This window comes from Homo sapiens, chromosome 1 (assembly GCF_000001405.40).
Source record: "Homo sapiens chromosome 1, GRCh38.p14 Primary Assembly".
Taxonomy (NCBI): Eukaryota; Metazoa; Chordata; class Mammalia; order Primates; family Hominidae; genus Homo; species Homo sapiens.
Window position 1 is genome coordinate 69,963,945 of NC_000001.11, and position 17,609 is coordinate 69,981,553.

Below are 17,609 nucleotides of genomic sequence, written 5' to 3' on the forward strand. Positions count from 1 at the left end.
TTGAACGAAATAAGGTCTATCTTTAGTATCTGATCTCCTCCTATGCTACCATCATTCTAAGGCCTCCTGCTTAGGTAACATCATGCTAGGTGTGAACCACTTGTAATTTTTCCCCAGAATACTCCTTTACTTTTGAACCTTACTCATCATATTTTACAAAACAAAGATCAGGCTCTTGCCCTCCCCATATATTAGCTGTATGACTTTGGGCACATTCGTTTGGTTTTTTATGCCTAAATCTCTGTAAAATAGAGATAGTAGCTAATGTCCATTGAGCATTGAGCACTTACACTTAGAACCAGTCACTGTCCTAAAAACTTTAAATGCCTTAACACACAGTTAATCCTCAGTATCCTCCTATATGGGCTATACTACTGTCATTCACCTATTACGTATGAGGAAACTGAGCCAAGATAAGTCACACAACAAGTAAGCGACAAAGCCTGGATCTGAACTCAGTCCACCTCCTGAGATCATGCTCTTAACCATTATGCATACTGCCTGTCCAGGGATGCTACCCCACTCATTGGACAGTCATGAAGAGTCTACATAAAAACACTTAGAAAAGTGCCTTACTTATAGTAAGTACCCAATAGAAGTTAGATTTTTTTGTTGTTATTGTTTTACTCTATTTATAGCTTCTAGGATCTTATATGTTCATTGATAGATGAGTCACTATTTCTCAAAGGAAATCAGATTATTTCATTTTAGACAGATCTAATTGGGAAAAAGTCATTCATTGTTTGTTTGATGCTCACTTAACACTTAACTTCCTGTGACTTTCCTCATTGTTTCTAGTTCTTAACTGAGGATAAAGAGAGGCAAGCCTAGCTCCACTTTCTTAAAACAACTCTCAGATATTCAAAGGAGAGTGTTTTTGACACCTACATAGTCCATTCTTCAGTCTAAGCAGTTTGAATCACTTGCTGTTTCTCTTATGGCATGGTTTCCAGATATTCTGGTTTGATGCAGACACCCTTATACCTGGCCATCTAGATGAAAACAAAATATTATAGCTCATATGTGGAGTAATAGCTGCATATAAAACAGGACATTGAGAGAAAAGATTTGAGGATAGTCCTGTCAGTCTGAATTATATTCTCAGAGACAGTTATGGTGCCTTCCTTGCATGGAGTAGGTTGTAATTCTTGACTGAATGAATTCACTTATAAACAAATGTGTTAATGAACCCTGGGCTTACTCTTGACTTAAATCCCTATTCTTGTTCACATGTACTTCTGCTTCTGGTGCTATGCTTCTGTGATTGGTTTGGGAAACATATAGTAGGACATCATATTAGTCCCTATTAAACTTCATTTTGTTTGAGCTATCCAGTCTTCCAACATTTCAGATCATCTTGGATACTAATTTTGTCATTTCGTGTATTGTCATTCCCTCCAAACATCATGTCATCTGTAGATTTCTCCTCTGGGCCATTAATACAATCCTCCGAGTATTTAAATGGAATATATTATGCTCATATTCTATTAAAATATTCATAAGGGCTTATGGCTTAAAGTGTTTTAATTAATTATAAATCAATCACATCTTAGCAGTACATTTTATCATGAATTGCCATTAAGAATATCTACTTATTTATTCATTCAATAATTATTAAAATATAAAAAATTTTTTTCCAAAATATCACCCAAATTTGAGTAATTAAATTTTTTAAAAAATTTTAAAAATTTATGAACATTTTAATGTGATGGGCTTCTGAAATGAATTTGAAAAACGTGAAATTAATGTAAACTGAAAGTAGGGTCAGACCTTATGGTGCTAACCTTTTCATCATCAAAGAAATTAACTGAAAAAGCTAAACAGTCTCAAGGCATGTAATACATTACTATTGGGAGAATGTACAAGTAGGGTTGTCATCAAAAGGTGAACAATATTAGTCATCTAATTTCGTGTATCAGAAAGAATTTCCACCAAGTACTATGAAATTCATGAATAAAAGATTTCCCACTTGTGAGAACTAAAGGGCTAGTAATAAACCAAGTGTATTGTTAAATAAAAGATTTAAATAAAAATGGAAGAAAGTTTCTTAAAATGAAGTCATACTTCCTTGGTGGATTGCAAAATCTAAATGTTATTAAACAAAGATAGTAAAATTAAAAAGAAATAAAAAGTTATACCCTGAAATATTGATGATCTCAAAATTTAGAAAAAAATGTAATAACTGGAATATCTCAATAAAATATCATAATTATGTCACTTTGGTTAGAGAATATAGCTTTAAAAATTTTATTGGCCAATTTGCATTTATTAATTTGAGAAAACACCTTCACCTTCATTAATTCAGATTAAAATTTTAATTTTAAAACAGGTTTCATTCTGTTGCCTTCCAGTTGTATATTGCTTCTGGGAATAACAAGTTTTTTTAATTACAGTATCTACCATGTAATCTCATACAATTTTAAAATTTAAAGGTCTCTGGTATTTTACTAGTTTTACTTTGACAAAATTAGATAAATGGCAGATTATGTTTTTCATTAGTAACATTTCTCTTAACCTCATTTCATCTTAACCTCACAGGTATAAAAATAAATACAATCAAATTCTATCATCCAAATTGGTAGATTAATAGTACTTCATATAGTCAAATAAATGGGTAGGAATACATTAGGAAAGCCAGGATAACCCACAGACTCTCTGAAGGAAGCGGATTGCTCCTGCAGGACCTGGGAGACACCCCAAATACTGTGAGTGCCCAAACCATGAAATGGGAAAGGGAGATTGTCCGCCCCGAGCACATATACCCACCAGGGAACCTGAAGGTCTAGATTACAGAAGAAGATTCTGACCTTACCTGGAGCTGAGTCAATTTAGAGAGCCGAGCAAAATACAGGGGTAGAGGAAGCAGCGGGAAAATCCCTAAGCCATTTCTGCCTGGTCTCACAGGGGTCCTTAAGCAGGGCTGCCAGAGGCACTGGGCAAAGTCCACATGGAGAAGGAAACCTCCAGTTGAACTTTGTAACAATTTGAACTGATCAAGAAGTCTCCTGGCCAGAACTCAGGGGAGGGTGTGAATCTGGTGTGCAGACTCCACAAGTTGGGGAAGAAAGAAAGCCCTACTTTCGCAGCTGGGAGGCAGGTAGCCTGGGGCAAGTTCTCAGCCCTGCTCGCCCACTGCCTGGAAACAGACTCTGTGCTGTTGGAAGGGGCACAGTGGGAGTGAGACCAGCCGTTTGAATTGCGTGGGAGGTGGGTGAGACCTCTGACTGCCACTTTTCCCTACTTCCCTGACAACCAGCATGACACAGCAGAGACAGCCATAATCCTCCTGGGAACATAACTCCATGGGACCTGGGACCCTCACCCACATCCCCCACAGCAGCCACAGCAAGACCTGCCCAAGTAAAGTCTGAGGTCAGACATGCCTAGCCCTGCTCCCACCTAATGCTCCTCCCCTACACCCTCTGGTAACTGAAGACAAAGGGCAGTATACTCTTGGGAGTTCTAGGGCCCCACCCACCACCTGTTTCTCCCCATACTGCCACAGCTGATACTTTCTTGAAAGCGCCACCTCTCAGCAGGATGCCAGATAGCACAAAAATAGTGCATTAATCAACCACCAAAGCTAAGGAACCTCACAGAGTCCATTTCACGCCCCCTGCCACCTCCACCGGAGCAGGTGCCAGTATCCACAGCTGAGAGACTCAGATGGTTCACATTATAGGACTCTGTACAGACAACCCCCAGTCCCAGCCCAGAGCCTGGCAGACTTGCTGGGTGGCTAGATCCAGAAGAGAGATAACAATCCTACAGCTCAGCTCTCAGGAAGCCACATTCCTAGGGAAAGGAGGAGAGTACTACATCAAGGAAACACCCATGGGTAAAAAGGAACTGAAGAACAGCCTTGAGCCTTAGACTTTTCCCTTCAACAGAGCCTACCCAAATGAAAAGGAACCAGGAAACCAACTCTGGTAATATGGCAAAACAAGGTTTTTTAACACCCCCAAAAAATCACAATAGCTCACCAGCAATGGATCCAAACCAAGATGAAATCCCTGATTTACCTGAAAAATAATTCAGAAGGTTAGTTATTAAGCTAATCAGGGAGTCACCAGAGAAAGGTGAAGCCCAATGTAAGGAAATCAAAAAAATGATACAAGAAGTGAGGGGAGAAATATTCAATGAAATAGATAGCATAAATAAAAAATAATCAAAACTTTAAGAAACAATGGATGCACTTATAGAAATGCAAAATGCTCTGGAAAGTCTCAGCAATAGAATTGAACAAGCAGAAGAAAGAACTTCAGAGCTCAAAGACAAGGTTTTCCAGTTAACACAATCCAACAAAGACAAAGAAAAAAGAATAAGGAAATATGAACAAAGACTCCAAGAAGTCTGGGATTATGTTAAACGACCAAACCTAAGAATAATGTATTCCTGAGGAAGAACAGAAATCTAAGTTTGGAAAATACATTTTGAGGAATAATTGAGGAAAACTTCCCCAGCCTTGCTAAAGAACTAGACATCTGAATACAAGAAGCTCAAAGAACATCTGGGAAATTCATCACAAAGAGATCATCACCCAGGCACACTGTCATCAGATTATCTAAAGTTAAGACAAAGGAAAGAATCTTAAGAGCTGTGAGGCAAAAACACCAGGTAACCTATAAAGGAAAACTCATCAGATTAACTGCAGATTTCTCAGCAGAAACCCTACAAGCTAGAAGGGTTTGGGGTCCTATCTTCAGCCTCCTCAAACAACACAATTATCAGCCAAGAGTTTTGTACCCAGCAAAACTACACAGTCTTTTCCAGACAAGCAAATGCTGAGAGAATTCACCACTCTCAAGCCAGCAATAAAACAACCGCTGAAAGGAGCTCTATATCTTTGTGGGGTTTTTTTGTTTTTTGTTTTTTGTTTTTGTTTTTTTTTTGAGACATAGTCTTGCTCTGTCTCCCAGGCTGGAGTGCAGTGGCGCAATCTCAGCTCACTGCAAGCCCCGCCTCCCAGGTTCACACCATTCTCTTGACTCAGCCTCCCGAGTAGCTGGGACTACAGGTGCCCGCCACCACACCTGGCTGGTTTTTTGTATTTTTAGTAGAGACAGGGTTTCACCGTGTTAGCCAGGATGGTCTCGATCTCCTGACCTCGTGATCTGCCCACCTCGACCTCCCAAAGTGCTGGGATTACAGATGTGAGCCACCGTGCCTGGCCAAGGAGCTCTAAATCTTGAAACAAATCTTGGAAACACATCAAAACAGAACCTCTTTAAAGCATAAATCACACAGAACCTATAAAACAAAAATACAATTTAAAACAAAAAACCAACGTATACAGGCAATAAATAGCATGATTAATGGAGTGGTACCTCACATCTCAATACTAACATTAAATGCAAATGGTCTAAATGCTCCACTTAAAAGATACATAATTGTAGAATGGATAAGAATTCACCAACCAACTATGTGCTGCCTTCAAGAGATACACCTAACACATAAGGACTCACATAAACTTAAGGTAAAGGGATGGCAAAAGACACCCCATGCAAATGGACACCAAATGCGAGCAGCAGTAGCTATTCTTACATTAGACAAAAACTTTAAAGCAACAGTATTAAAAAAAGAGAAAGAGGGTCATTATATAACGATAAAAGGCCTTGTCCAACATGAAAATATCACAATCCTAAATATATACGCACCTAACACTGGAGCTCCCAAACTTATAAAACAACTACTACTAGACCTAAGAAATGAGATAAACAGCAACACAATAATAGTGGGGGACTTCGATATTCCACTCACAGCAAAAGACAGGTCATCAAGACAGAAAGTCAACAAAGAAACAATGGATTTAAACTATACCCCAGAACAAATAGACTTAACATATATTTACATGACATTCTACCCAACAACCACAGAATGTACATTCTATTCAACAGCGCATGGAACTTTCTCCGGGATAGACCACATGATAGGCCACAAAATGAGCCTCAATAAATTCAAGAAAATTGAAATTATATCAAGCAGTCTCTCAGACCACAGTGGAATTAAACTGGAAATCAACTGCAAAAGGAACCTTCAAAACCATGCAAATACATGGAAATTAAATAACTTGCTCCTGAATGATCATTGGGTCAAAAACAAAATCAAGATGGAAATTTAAAAATTCTTCGAACTGAACAACAATAGTGATACAACCTATCAAAACCTCTGGCATACAGCAAAGGCGGTGCTAAGAGGAAAGTTCATACCCCTAAACACCTTCATCAAAAAGTCTAAAAGAGCACAAACAGACAATCTAAGGTAACATCTCAAGGAACTAGAGAAACAAGAACAAACCAAACCCAAACCCAGCAGAAGAAAGGAAATAACCAAGATTAGAGCAGAACTAAATAAAATTGAAACCAAAAAAATACAAAAGACAAATATAACAAAAAACTGGTTCTTCGAAAAGATAAATAAAACTGATAGACCACTGGCAAGATTAACCAAGAAAAGGAGAGAGAAAATCCAAATAAGCTCAATTAGAAATGAAACGAGAGATATTACAACTGACATCACAGAAATACAAAAGATCATTCAAGGCTAATACGAATGACTTTATGTACACAAACTAGAACACCTAAAGGAGATGGATAAAATCCTGGGAAAATACAACCTTCCTAGCTTAAATCAGGAAGAATTACATACTCTGAACAGGCCAATAACAAGCAGTAAGATTGAAATGTTAATGAAAGAATTACCAACAAAAAGAAGTCCAGGACCAGACAGACTCACAGCAGAATTCTACCAGACATTCAAAGAAGAATTGATGTCAATCCTTTTGACACTATTCCACCAGATAGAGAAAGAGGGAACCCTCCCTAAATCATTGTATGAAACCATTATCACCCTAATACCAAAACCAGGAAAGGACATAATCAAAAAAGAAAACTACAAATCAATATCCCTGATGAACATAGATGCTAAAATCCTTAACGTAATACTAGCTAATTGAATCCAACAACATACCAAAAAGATAATCTACCATCATCAAGTGGGTTTTATACCAGGGATGCAGGGATGGTTTAACATACACAAGTCAACAAATGTGATACACCACATAAATAGAATAAAAAACAAAAATCACATATCATCTTAACAGATGTAGAAAAAGCATTTAACAAAATCCAGCATCGTTTTTGATTAAAACTCTCCACAAAATCAGCATACAAGGACATACCTCAATGTAATAAAAACCATCTATAACAAATCCATAGCCAGCATAATACTGAATGGGGAAAAGTTGAAAGCATTCCCTCTGACAACTGAAACAAGACAAGGATGCCCACTCTCACCATTCCTTTTCACCATAGTATTATGTTGAAGCCAGAGCAATCAGACAAGAGAAAGAAATAAAGGGCATCCAAATTGGTAAAGAAGAAGTCAAACTGTCGCTGCTCTCTGATATGATTGTTTACCTAGAAAACCCTAAAGACTACTCCAGAAAGCTCCTAGAACTGATAAAAGAATTCAGCAAAGTTTCCAGATAGAAAATTAATGTACACAAATCAGTAGCTCTTCTATACACCCACAGCGACCAAGCGGAGAATCAGATCAAGAACTTAACCCCTTTTACAATAGCTGCAAACAAACAAAATACTTAGAAATATACCTAACCAAGGAGGTGAAAGACCTCTACAAGGAAAACAACAAAACACTGCTGAAAGAAATCATAGATGACACAAACTAGTGGAAACACATCCCATGTTCATGGATGGGTAGAATCAATATTGTGAAAACGACCATACTGCCAAAAGCAATCTACAAATTCAATGCAACTCCCATCAAAATACCACCATCATTCTTCACAGAATTAGAAAAAACAATCCTAAAATTCATATGGAACCAAGAAAGAGCCCACATAGCCAAAGCAAGACTAAGCAAAAAGAATAAATCTGGAGCCATCACATTACCTGATTTCAAACTATACTATAAGGCCGTAGTCACCAAAACAGAATGGTACTGGCATAAAAATAAGACACATAGACCAATGGAACAGAATAGCGAACTCAGAAATAAACCCTCATACTTACAGCCAACTGATCTTTGACAAAGCAAACAAAAAGGTAAAGTGGAGAAAGGACACCTTATTCAACAAATAGCGCTGGGATAATTGGCAAGCCACATGTAGGAGAATGAAACTGGATCCTCATCTCTCACCTTATACAAAAATCAACTCAAGATGGATGAAGGACTTAAATCTAAGACCGGAAACTACAAAAATTCTAGAAGACAGTGTTGGAAAAACCCTTCTAGATATTGGCTTAGGCAATGATTTCATAACCAAGAACCCAAAAGCAAATGCAATAAAAACAAAGATAAATAGCTGGGACTTAATTAAACTAAAGAGCTTTTGCATACAAAAGAAACAGCAGAGTAAACAGACAACCCACGGAGTGGGAGAAAATCTTCACAATCTATACATCTGAAAAAGGACTAATGTGCAGAATCTACAACAAACTCAAACTAATTAGCAAGAAAACAAACAATCCCATCAAAAAAGTGGGCTAAGGACATGAATAGACAATTCTAAAAAGAAGATATACAAATGGCAAACAAACATATGAAAGAAATGCTCAACATCACTAGTGATCAGGGAAATGCAAATCAAAACCAGAATGTGATACCAACTTACTCCTGCAAGAATGGCCATAATCAAAAAATCAAAATATAATAGATGTTAGCCTGGATACAGTGAAAGGGAAACGCTTTTACACTGCTGGTGGGAATGTAAACCAGTACAACCACTATGGAAAACAGTGTGGTGATTCCTTAAAGAGCTAAAAGTAGAACTACCGTCTGATCCAGCAATCCCACTACTGGGTATCTACCCAGAAGAAAAGAAGTCATTATATGAAAAAGATACTTGCACACGCATGTTTATAGCAGCACAGTTTGCAATTGCAAAAACATGGAACCAACCCGAGTGCCCATCAATGAGTGGATAGGGAAACTGTTTATATATAACTATATATTTTTTAATATATATATTTATATATATATAAATACTATATATATAATACTATATATAAATACTATATATATAAATACTACTAGATACTATATATATACTATATATAAATACTACTATATATAGTATATATAATACTATATATATAAAGTACCATATATATATATATAAAAAAATACTACTCAGCCATAAAAAGGAATGAATTAATGGCATTCACAGCAACCTGGATGAGACTGGAGACTATTATTCTAAGCAAAGTAACTCAGGAATGGAAAAACCAAACATCGTATGTTGTCACTCATATGTGGGAGCTAAGCTATGACAATGCAAAGGCATAAGAATAACACAATGGACTTTGAGGTCTCAGGGGGAAAGGGTAGGAAAAGGGTGAGAGATAAAAGACCACAAATTGGGTGCAGTGTATACTGCTTGGGTGATGGGTGCACCAAAATCTCACAAATCACCACTAAAGAACTTACTCATGTAACCAAACTACCTGTTCCCCAATAACCTATGGAAATAAAAAATTTTAATAAAAAAATTAAATAAAAACAAAGTAATGGAGCAGCCTAAAATTGCATATACATGGCAGGAGTTATTGGAATTTGTTGCAGTCATACAAAATATATATTTTCTTTGTGTTAATATTGATGTAACCATTTTCGTAGCTCATTTTGATTGATCATGGTAAATCACCTTGAAAAGGATACACTCTGTTGCCCAGGCTGGAGTGCAGTGGCGCAATCTTGGCTCACTGCCTCGTAGGTTCAAGCGATCCTCCTGCCTCAGCCTCCCCAGTAGCTGGGATTACAGGCAGGTAACACCAAACCTGGCTAATTTTTGTATTTTTAGTAGAGATGGGATTTCGCCATGTTGGCCAGGCTGGTCTCAAACTCCTGACCTCAGGTGATCCGCCCACCTCAGCCTCCCAAAGTGTTTGGATTACAGGCATGAACCTCCATGCCCAGCCATTTTGTGTTTGATTTTGATCTCTGTTTTAAAGAGAAAAAACACTGCAGCTGTAAAGTAGACATCTTCTATGTTCCCCCTCCGAGTCGTATTCCAATCCCTCCTTCACCAAGGAAATTACTTCTTTGAATTTGGCATACCTCTATTCCATATTTCTATTTTGAAATGCATGTATATGTATTCATCAGTATATAGCATAGTTTTTTGACTTGTGTAAATTGATTTGTGCTATATAAATTTTCTGTACTTGCTTACTCACACAATATTGTTTGCAAGATCTATTCATCTTATTTCATACATAAAAATATAGATAATTCATTTTCATTGCTGTTCATTTTAACAACATATTACTTTTTCATCATTTACCTTATACTGTTGTTTATTTAGGTTGTGACCAACTTTTTAATATTATTCTGTAATTAACATTTTTACGTTGATTTTTCTATATTTTAGATTATTTAGGTAGGATAGTTGCTTAGAAGTAGATAAGAAAGTTTTTGAGGTGTGAGATTCATATTTGAAAATGTTTTCCAAAAAAATTACAGTTTATAATCTCAAAACCCATTTATGAGAGTGCTCATCTTATAGCACTTTCACTAGCATTGAATATTCCAAGTTATTCTGGAGTTAATTCACTAATTTTTAACGGAAACAACTGACTTTGTGATTAAATTAAGTAGCATAGAAAAATGTGATCAATGTGTTGGTTGAATGTAAGCCATTTAGTTAAATTCCAAGATCCACTTTAAAATCATCTATTGATTATGAAATGCTATTGTATCATTTTATGTTGTGGTTTTGTCTTCTTTTCAGAAAGGCCATGGATCTGCTATGCTTTATCTGTGCTATTCTTAGGAAGTTTTTGAAGCTTCCTCTGTAACACATTTTATTATAACATCCAGTAATAAAAATATCTTTTTTTAGAAATCAAGCATATGCTTTACTTTATTGGGTATTTGTGATCACCAACTCTCTTCATTATTTTGGAATTTCAGTTTTAAGCTCTAAGATGATGTCATCTTTGTAGCCAGAAGACCTGAGCAGCAATATCATCTGCAGTTATGTAAACTTCATCAAATTATTCTCATTTTCCAGAGGAAATTATTATCAGATTATTTATCCATAAAGTGGGATTATTATCACCTTATTATGTTCTTAAATAGATTAAATGAGATCCTTTAAAATAAAGTAGAAATATAGATTAGAATCACTGATCTCTTTCCAAGTAGCCATAGATACCTAAAGTCCCCAGTAAAACCCAGAATTAGAGAAATTTCAGAGGTATGATTGATCATCTTTCTCTGCCACTTTGCCTGACACAGCCAAGAGAGCAATTTATGCAGTGCATCACAGGTTGCCCAAATCCTTGGAAATCATGAAAGGCCTTATGTTCCCACAGCATCCTCACCCACCTACACACCAAGATTTTATAGTTTGTACCTTAGCCAACTCTCCCCAGAGTTACAATTTGAATTTTGCCATTATCCAAAACAACTTCAGAAATCTTGAATCTCTAAATTCTACCATAAATTCTAATTTTTCCTTCTTCCACTTCTGTCTGTCCCCTCGCTCCTGCTACACTCCTCTCCGACCTATGGAAACCTGACGTCTTTTGTTTCTTCTATTTTCTCCTAGACTCAGTTCCCTTCCTGGCCCAGAAAAAAAGTTATAATTGTTATCATTGATATAACTCTTTTGATTGCTCTCAGTGATGCCTCTCAAACTACTTCAATATGGACCATTCTCCCCAACTGCTGATGTATACAAAATTCTTGTTGCCTTATGTTAACAGATTACCTCATTTCCTACTTCATCAAGAAAATTTGAGATCTTCAGAAATGCCTCCCTCAACTACCAGCCCTCCTTCCACCATGCCAACTTACACCCATACCATCCCTGCAGTCTTCCCTCCAGTCTGAACAAATGAGGTGCCTCACTTCTATTCAGTGTCAGCCCCTCCCCTTGTGCTGTCAATCTCCTCTTCATTGTCCCCTCTTGGAATTTACTCAGTTTTTTTTTTTGTACCATCTTATCTATCTTTAACCTGTTCCTCTTCGCCAGTGTCTTCATGTCAGCTTTCCTTTCCCTTGACCCCTCAGTTTTTTTTATAGCCCCTTAACTTTTCTCCTCTCCTCTCATTCAGGCTTTACAAATAATATTCTACCTGTATTGTGTCTATTTATTTTCTTCTTATTTATCTTCAGCTCACTGTAAGATAGTTATCACCTGAAATGTCTGTATTAGTCAGGATTCTCTAGAGGGACAGAACTAATAGGATAGATAGATAATATAAAGGGGAGTTTATTAAGTAGTATTAACTCACATGATCATAAGGCCCCAAAATAGGCCCTCCACAAGCTGAGGCACAAGGAAGCCAGTTCAAGTCTCAAAGCTGAAGAACTTGGAGTCCGATGTTTGAGGGAAGGAAGCATCCAGCATGGGAGAAAGATGCAGCCTGGGAGGCTAAGCCAGTCTACCCTTTTCATGTTTTTCTGCCTGCTTTATATTCGCTGGCAGCTGATTAGATTGTGCCCACCCAGTTAAGGGTAGGTCTGCCCTCCCCAGCCCACTGACTCAAAAATTAATCTCCTTTGGCAACACCCTCACAGACACCCCCAAGATCAATACTTTGCATCTTTTAATCCAATCAAGTAAACACTCACTATTAACCATCACAATGTCTATCACCAAGGTTACTAGTGACCTACTGTTTTTAAAATGGAGTGGGTATCCTCGATCTCTTATTTCACTGGACACCTTTCCTGTGTAGGATGCTCTTGTTCACTTCCTTTTTCCTAACACAACTCTATTCATTGGACTCTAGTCACCCTTACACTTCTGGACGCCATTCCTTCTTGTTGCTCTTCCTGTTTTCAGCCCTCAAGTATTAGTGTCCCTTAAGGTACTGTCCTCAGTCAACTCACTCTAGTTCCCCTCACATTCCCCTTGGAGAGCTCATTCACGTGAGTTTCTACTTCCGTGATACTTCTAAGTTGTATCTCCAGCTAATACTTCTAAGTTGTATCTCCAGCTAAAACCTATTCTCTAAGCTTCAGATTTTGATGCCAACTGATTCCTGGTAATCTCCACCTATGTCCTCCAGGAACCCGAAGTTAATTATGATCAAAACTGATTTCAGTCTCTCCCATTTATCTGCTTCCACCCCAATACTCTGCATCTCCATTGGTGACATCACCACATGCTGGGAAACTGGAAGACATGTTTGTGCATGACTCACTCCCTCGCCCCCATATCCTGTCACCAAGTCCTACCATTTTTATCTTTTAAATGTTTCCTGAAGCAGCTGCTTTTTATTCCTCATTACCTCTTTCATTACCAGCCCTGTTAAGTTTCCTGTTTTTGTTTTTCTTTTTTCGAATAGGATAGAGTATATATACAGAACACCAATCTGCCAAAATCACTTCCCATTAAAAATATTTTAATTATGCTCCGTCACTTATGCAACAAAGTCTATCTCCTTTAAAAAAAAGAAATACAAGCTTTGAGTTTCTTGAGGGCAGAGACCATACCATGCACTATGACTAGTATAATGCCTAGCACTTAGAAAATGTTTAATTAGATCTTACTTAATGAAGGGATGAATAAATTATAGAAGTGCTGTGTATCCATTCTTCTCATTCTTTTTTTCATACACTGTCACTGTGTGGCAGTGACAATACTATTTACCAAATAATCCACATCCTCCCTTTGTATTTCCCAGGCTTCCTTGTGCTAAGGGTGAGGCCATATAAATAGTTCTAGACATTGAGTTATAAGCATAATTGCTGCATGGCACTTGCAGCCCAATATCTTTAAGAGCTGTGGTGAATTTTCCACACTCTCTCTTCCCTTGCTTTGGCTCTCCTGACAATCTTGAGATGGTATCACAAGATAATGGGGCAGAAACGCATGCTGGACATACAGTAGTAGGAATAGTGGAAAGTAAGCCTTTTGTGTTAAATCACTGAGATTTCAGGGTTAATTTGTTAAAATAACATAATCTAATCCACCCTGAATAATAATAATGTTTACAGTTACAAGTTTATACATCAGTCTCTGTCTTATTGTATTCATATGAGCTTTTGTTGAACCTTGCCCAGTGGGCAGCCCGTTTGCTTCTCCTTCATAAGCATAATGCATAGGAAAAAAACAAAAAAACAAAAAAAGCATTGGGAGGCTGAGGCAGGTGGATCACCTGAAGTCAAGAGTTTGAGACCAGCCTGGCCAACATGGTGAAACCCCGCCTCTACTAAAAATACAATAATTAGCCAGGCGTGGTGGCCTGTGCCTCGGGAGGCCGAGGCAGGAGAATGGCTTGAACCCAGGAGGCAGAGGTTGCAGTGAGCTGAGATCGCACCACTGCACTCCAGCCTGGGTGACAGAGTGAGACTCCGTCGTCTGCGAGGAGAGGAGGGGAGGGAAGAGGAGGGGAGGGGAGGGAAAGGGAGGGGAGGGGAGCAACACATGAGTGATGTTTTCCAGTTCACCTGCCTGTTGCTAGCCAGCCCTCTGTCTCAAAACCTCTGCATATCAGAGTGTGCTCCCTACACATGATTTATGTTTTCCATTCTTGCCCAGCCTGACATATAGGCAGAGCAGTTCATTGCCTGTTCCCTATGATCTAAGTGACAGTAGAAGTATTTTTCTACATGCATACACACACATCCTCCATACTACCTCATGGATGCCTTTCATTTCACAGCAGAATGCCATGTCTCTAATTTTAAATTTCAATCCTTGTTATAAAGGAAACTTCTCCCAAGAATCTTACCACGTTCTATTGCAAGCACAGGCTAAAGGAATCTGAGACTATCTCCAAAGTAGATCTGGAAGTCTTAAGCCCTCCTAATTTGTTAAGGATGTGTAGATAACCTCCAATGACCTACAATTACTAATATTCTCATGGTAACTTTGATATAATTCCATTCTTTTCTACAAGTATTCTACAAAGTGCACTGCTTTTGTATTTTGGAACCTAATTAGATTCCAGATTTTATTGAACTGTTTTGTATTTTGTTGTTTCAGTAAGTAATAATTGTTTCAGTTAGAAAAAAAAAAAAAAAAAAACAGAAAATCTGCCTTCCAGGCTTATATAATCTTACCAGGATCTATCCTTTAGCTCCACTTTCTGTAGAAATGCTCCATCCTTAGACAGGCTCTCCTTTTTTTGTCATGCGTGAAGTTCCCAGGACTGCAGAGAAAAGCAATAAGCAATAGTGTTTTCCCCAGAAGTCACAAAGATTCACTGCTTTGTATGTGTTCTGAATGGGCCATGTTCCCATCCTGGATCAATCTCTGTGGCCAGGTGGATACAATGCACTAGTTAGCTGAGGCCTTAATCATCTCCCAAAGTGGTAAAAAACAAACAAACAAAAAAGGAATGGGCTTCAAAGGAAGCACAAGGCCTAAGAATAGGGAAGGGGATAATTTCTGGAGAAAAATTAGGCTACCGCTAGGAAGGTTTTGATGTTGGCAGCAATAGCAACCTCTATTCTCTCTATACAGTCTGCTGCCCGAAGTTAGAATTTAGAGACAGCATCTAGTTAGAGAAAGAAAGTGTTTCTTTATATACTACATGTTACACTTTGATCATATACTCTCTGTCCCTTCTCTGAACTTTTAAAACATATTCTAAAGTATTCTCCTATATGCTGCCTTGGTTTTAGTTATTTATAAATATTTCTCTCCCCTAGATCTAGATCTAGATCATCAGCTATTTCAAGGCAAGTACTGGTGGTTATATGGCATGTACATACAAGGCATGTACCGCATTGTACATTACATGTAGTAGGCATCCCCAACTATTCAACAAATAATTATTCATTGACAAAATGAAAGGATTAAAAGTCCATGGGTCTTCAGGTGGTAGCTTGGGGACTGATTTTTTAAAAGTCAATGGGGCTTATTCATCTTATGCATAGTATTAGGTTGGTGCAAACATAATTGCCGTTTTTGCCATTGAAAGTAATGGCAAAACCGCAATTACGTTTGCACCAACCCAGTATTATCTCATCACAGTTCTGTAACCCCTGTGTGTGCATGGATGTTTGTGTGCAAGGCGCTAATACACACACAGTAAGAAGCTACTATGTGCCCATGGTAAGCAACAGGGATGTGAGGATATAGTGATTACAAAACAAACATTCCCCAGGTCTTCAAAAGTTTATACTCTAGTGACAAAGACAGATGCTTATCAAATAGAGTGTAATCAGTACTCCAAAGAATAATTGTAAGGTATTCAGGGAGAATGTATGTGAGTAATAGATCTTCAATTTTATTATTATTGTTCTAACTGATTCCAGATCAATTCCAAATTGGCTGTCAGGGAATACCAGTTTTCCTAGAGGTCTGTTAAAGGTGGAATTTCTTAGATGCTTAACACTAGATTCCCAAATAAAAGCTCAAGATCCAAGAAATTACATCTTATGTTTGTGATAAGTAAAAACTAATTTAATTTTGTTTTCCTCTCTCCTTCCTCCCCACTTCTCTCCCAGCCTGAAGTTCTGGATCAAATACAAAATTTGAGGGAGTTATGGATGGATAATAATGCATTACAAGTGTTACCTGGGGTATGTAAGTTTTTATTCTACCATGTTGTTTAATATTTGTTATACGTTTGTTGTATTTGATCATAATCTCAACTCTTAAATTTCAGTATTTGTGTTTCAAAGTAAAATAATACTCATTAGGAGTGTTCAGTCACCAAGTGTTTTCACCATTTTTTTTTTTAGTATTTTATGTATCTTTTTGTGAGTGTTATAGGTATACAAAACGTAAGAAAGATTTTTCTTATTCCCTTTGGAGTATATTTGTCATCTCTTCCCACATTTACTGTTCTTTAAAAGCTGAAAGAATTTATAGTTATATTTTTAAAAAGCAAAATACCATATATAATACCAAGTTTTATTTTTACAAAATCAACCTTATTCTTACAGGTAACTAGACAATGGTTTTTATTCATTTTGTTAGAGCTCTTCTACAAAATAAAAATCTCTCTCAGTTCAGGTGATTTTCAATAGAACCCATGTGAATTTTTGAAAATGGCAAGGATCATACAGTATTAAAAACAGAAAGTTAAACCAGAGTCAAATTTTTTCCTCAACTAAAGTCCAGCCCAGTACTATCTCCTGAGTATAAGTTTACCAGTCAACTCATTGAGTGTGATTATTCCTACTTTTCCCATCTAACAAAAGAATGTTCCCATAAAACGCTGCCCCTTGCCACTTGCATACACACACACACACCAAGAGAGAGAGACAGCGAGAGAGCGCAAACACAAGTCTCCCTATTGTTTTGTATAACTCCAAACTCCTGGCATTGGTCTAAGTAGCCACAGCAGGTGAATATGTAATAAATCTTCAGCCAACACAGAGGTTTAGATGTGTATTCTCAAAACCAGTTTTATTTCTTTTTTGAATTGACATTAAAAATTACTTAAGATGACAGCAAAACCAACAAGAACAAGACATTTATTCTGTCTTTGAATAAGCATAAGACCACATAAAGGAGAAAATCTGAAACAAAGATTATGGAAAAATAATTAATGCTTTTATCAAAAGATGCATTTTTACCATCAAAGACACAAAACAGAAAAATATGCACATCTATTGTTCACTGATTTATTTAAAAATCATGTACCAATAAAGCTCTATGAATCAGAAACTATGCT

General features: G+C 37.3%; 1 protein-coding gene across 6 annotated transcripts in view; it reads left to right on the plus strand.

Annotated features, from left to right (window-relative positions):
* LRRC7 (leucine rich repeat containing 7) overlaps nt 1-17,609 on the plus strand; it is a 576,443-nt gene that overhangs the window by 396,023 nt on the left and 162,811 nt on the right. For all 6 annotated transcript variants that reach the window (NM_001330635.3, NM_001366839.3, NM_001370785.2 and 3 more), the window contains one exon: nt 16,435-16,509. In NM_001330635.3, the coding sequence (NP_001317564.1) occupies nt 16,435-16,509 (75 nt within the window). The remainder of the gene's footprint in view (nt 1-16,434; nt 16,510-17,609) is intronic.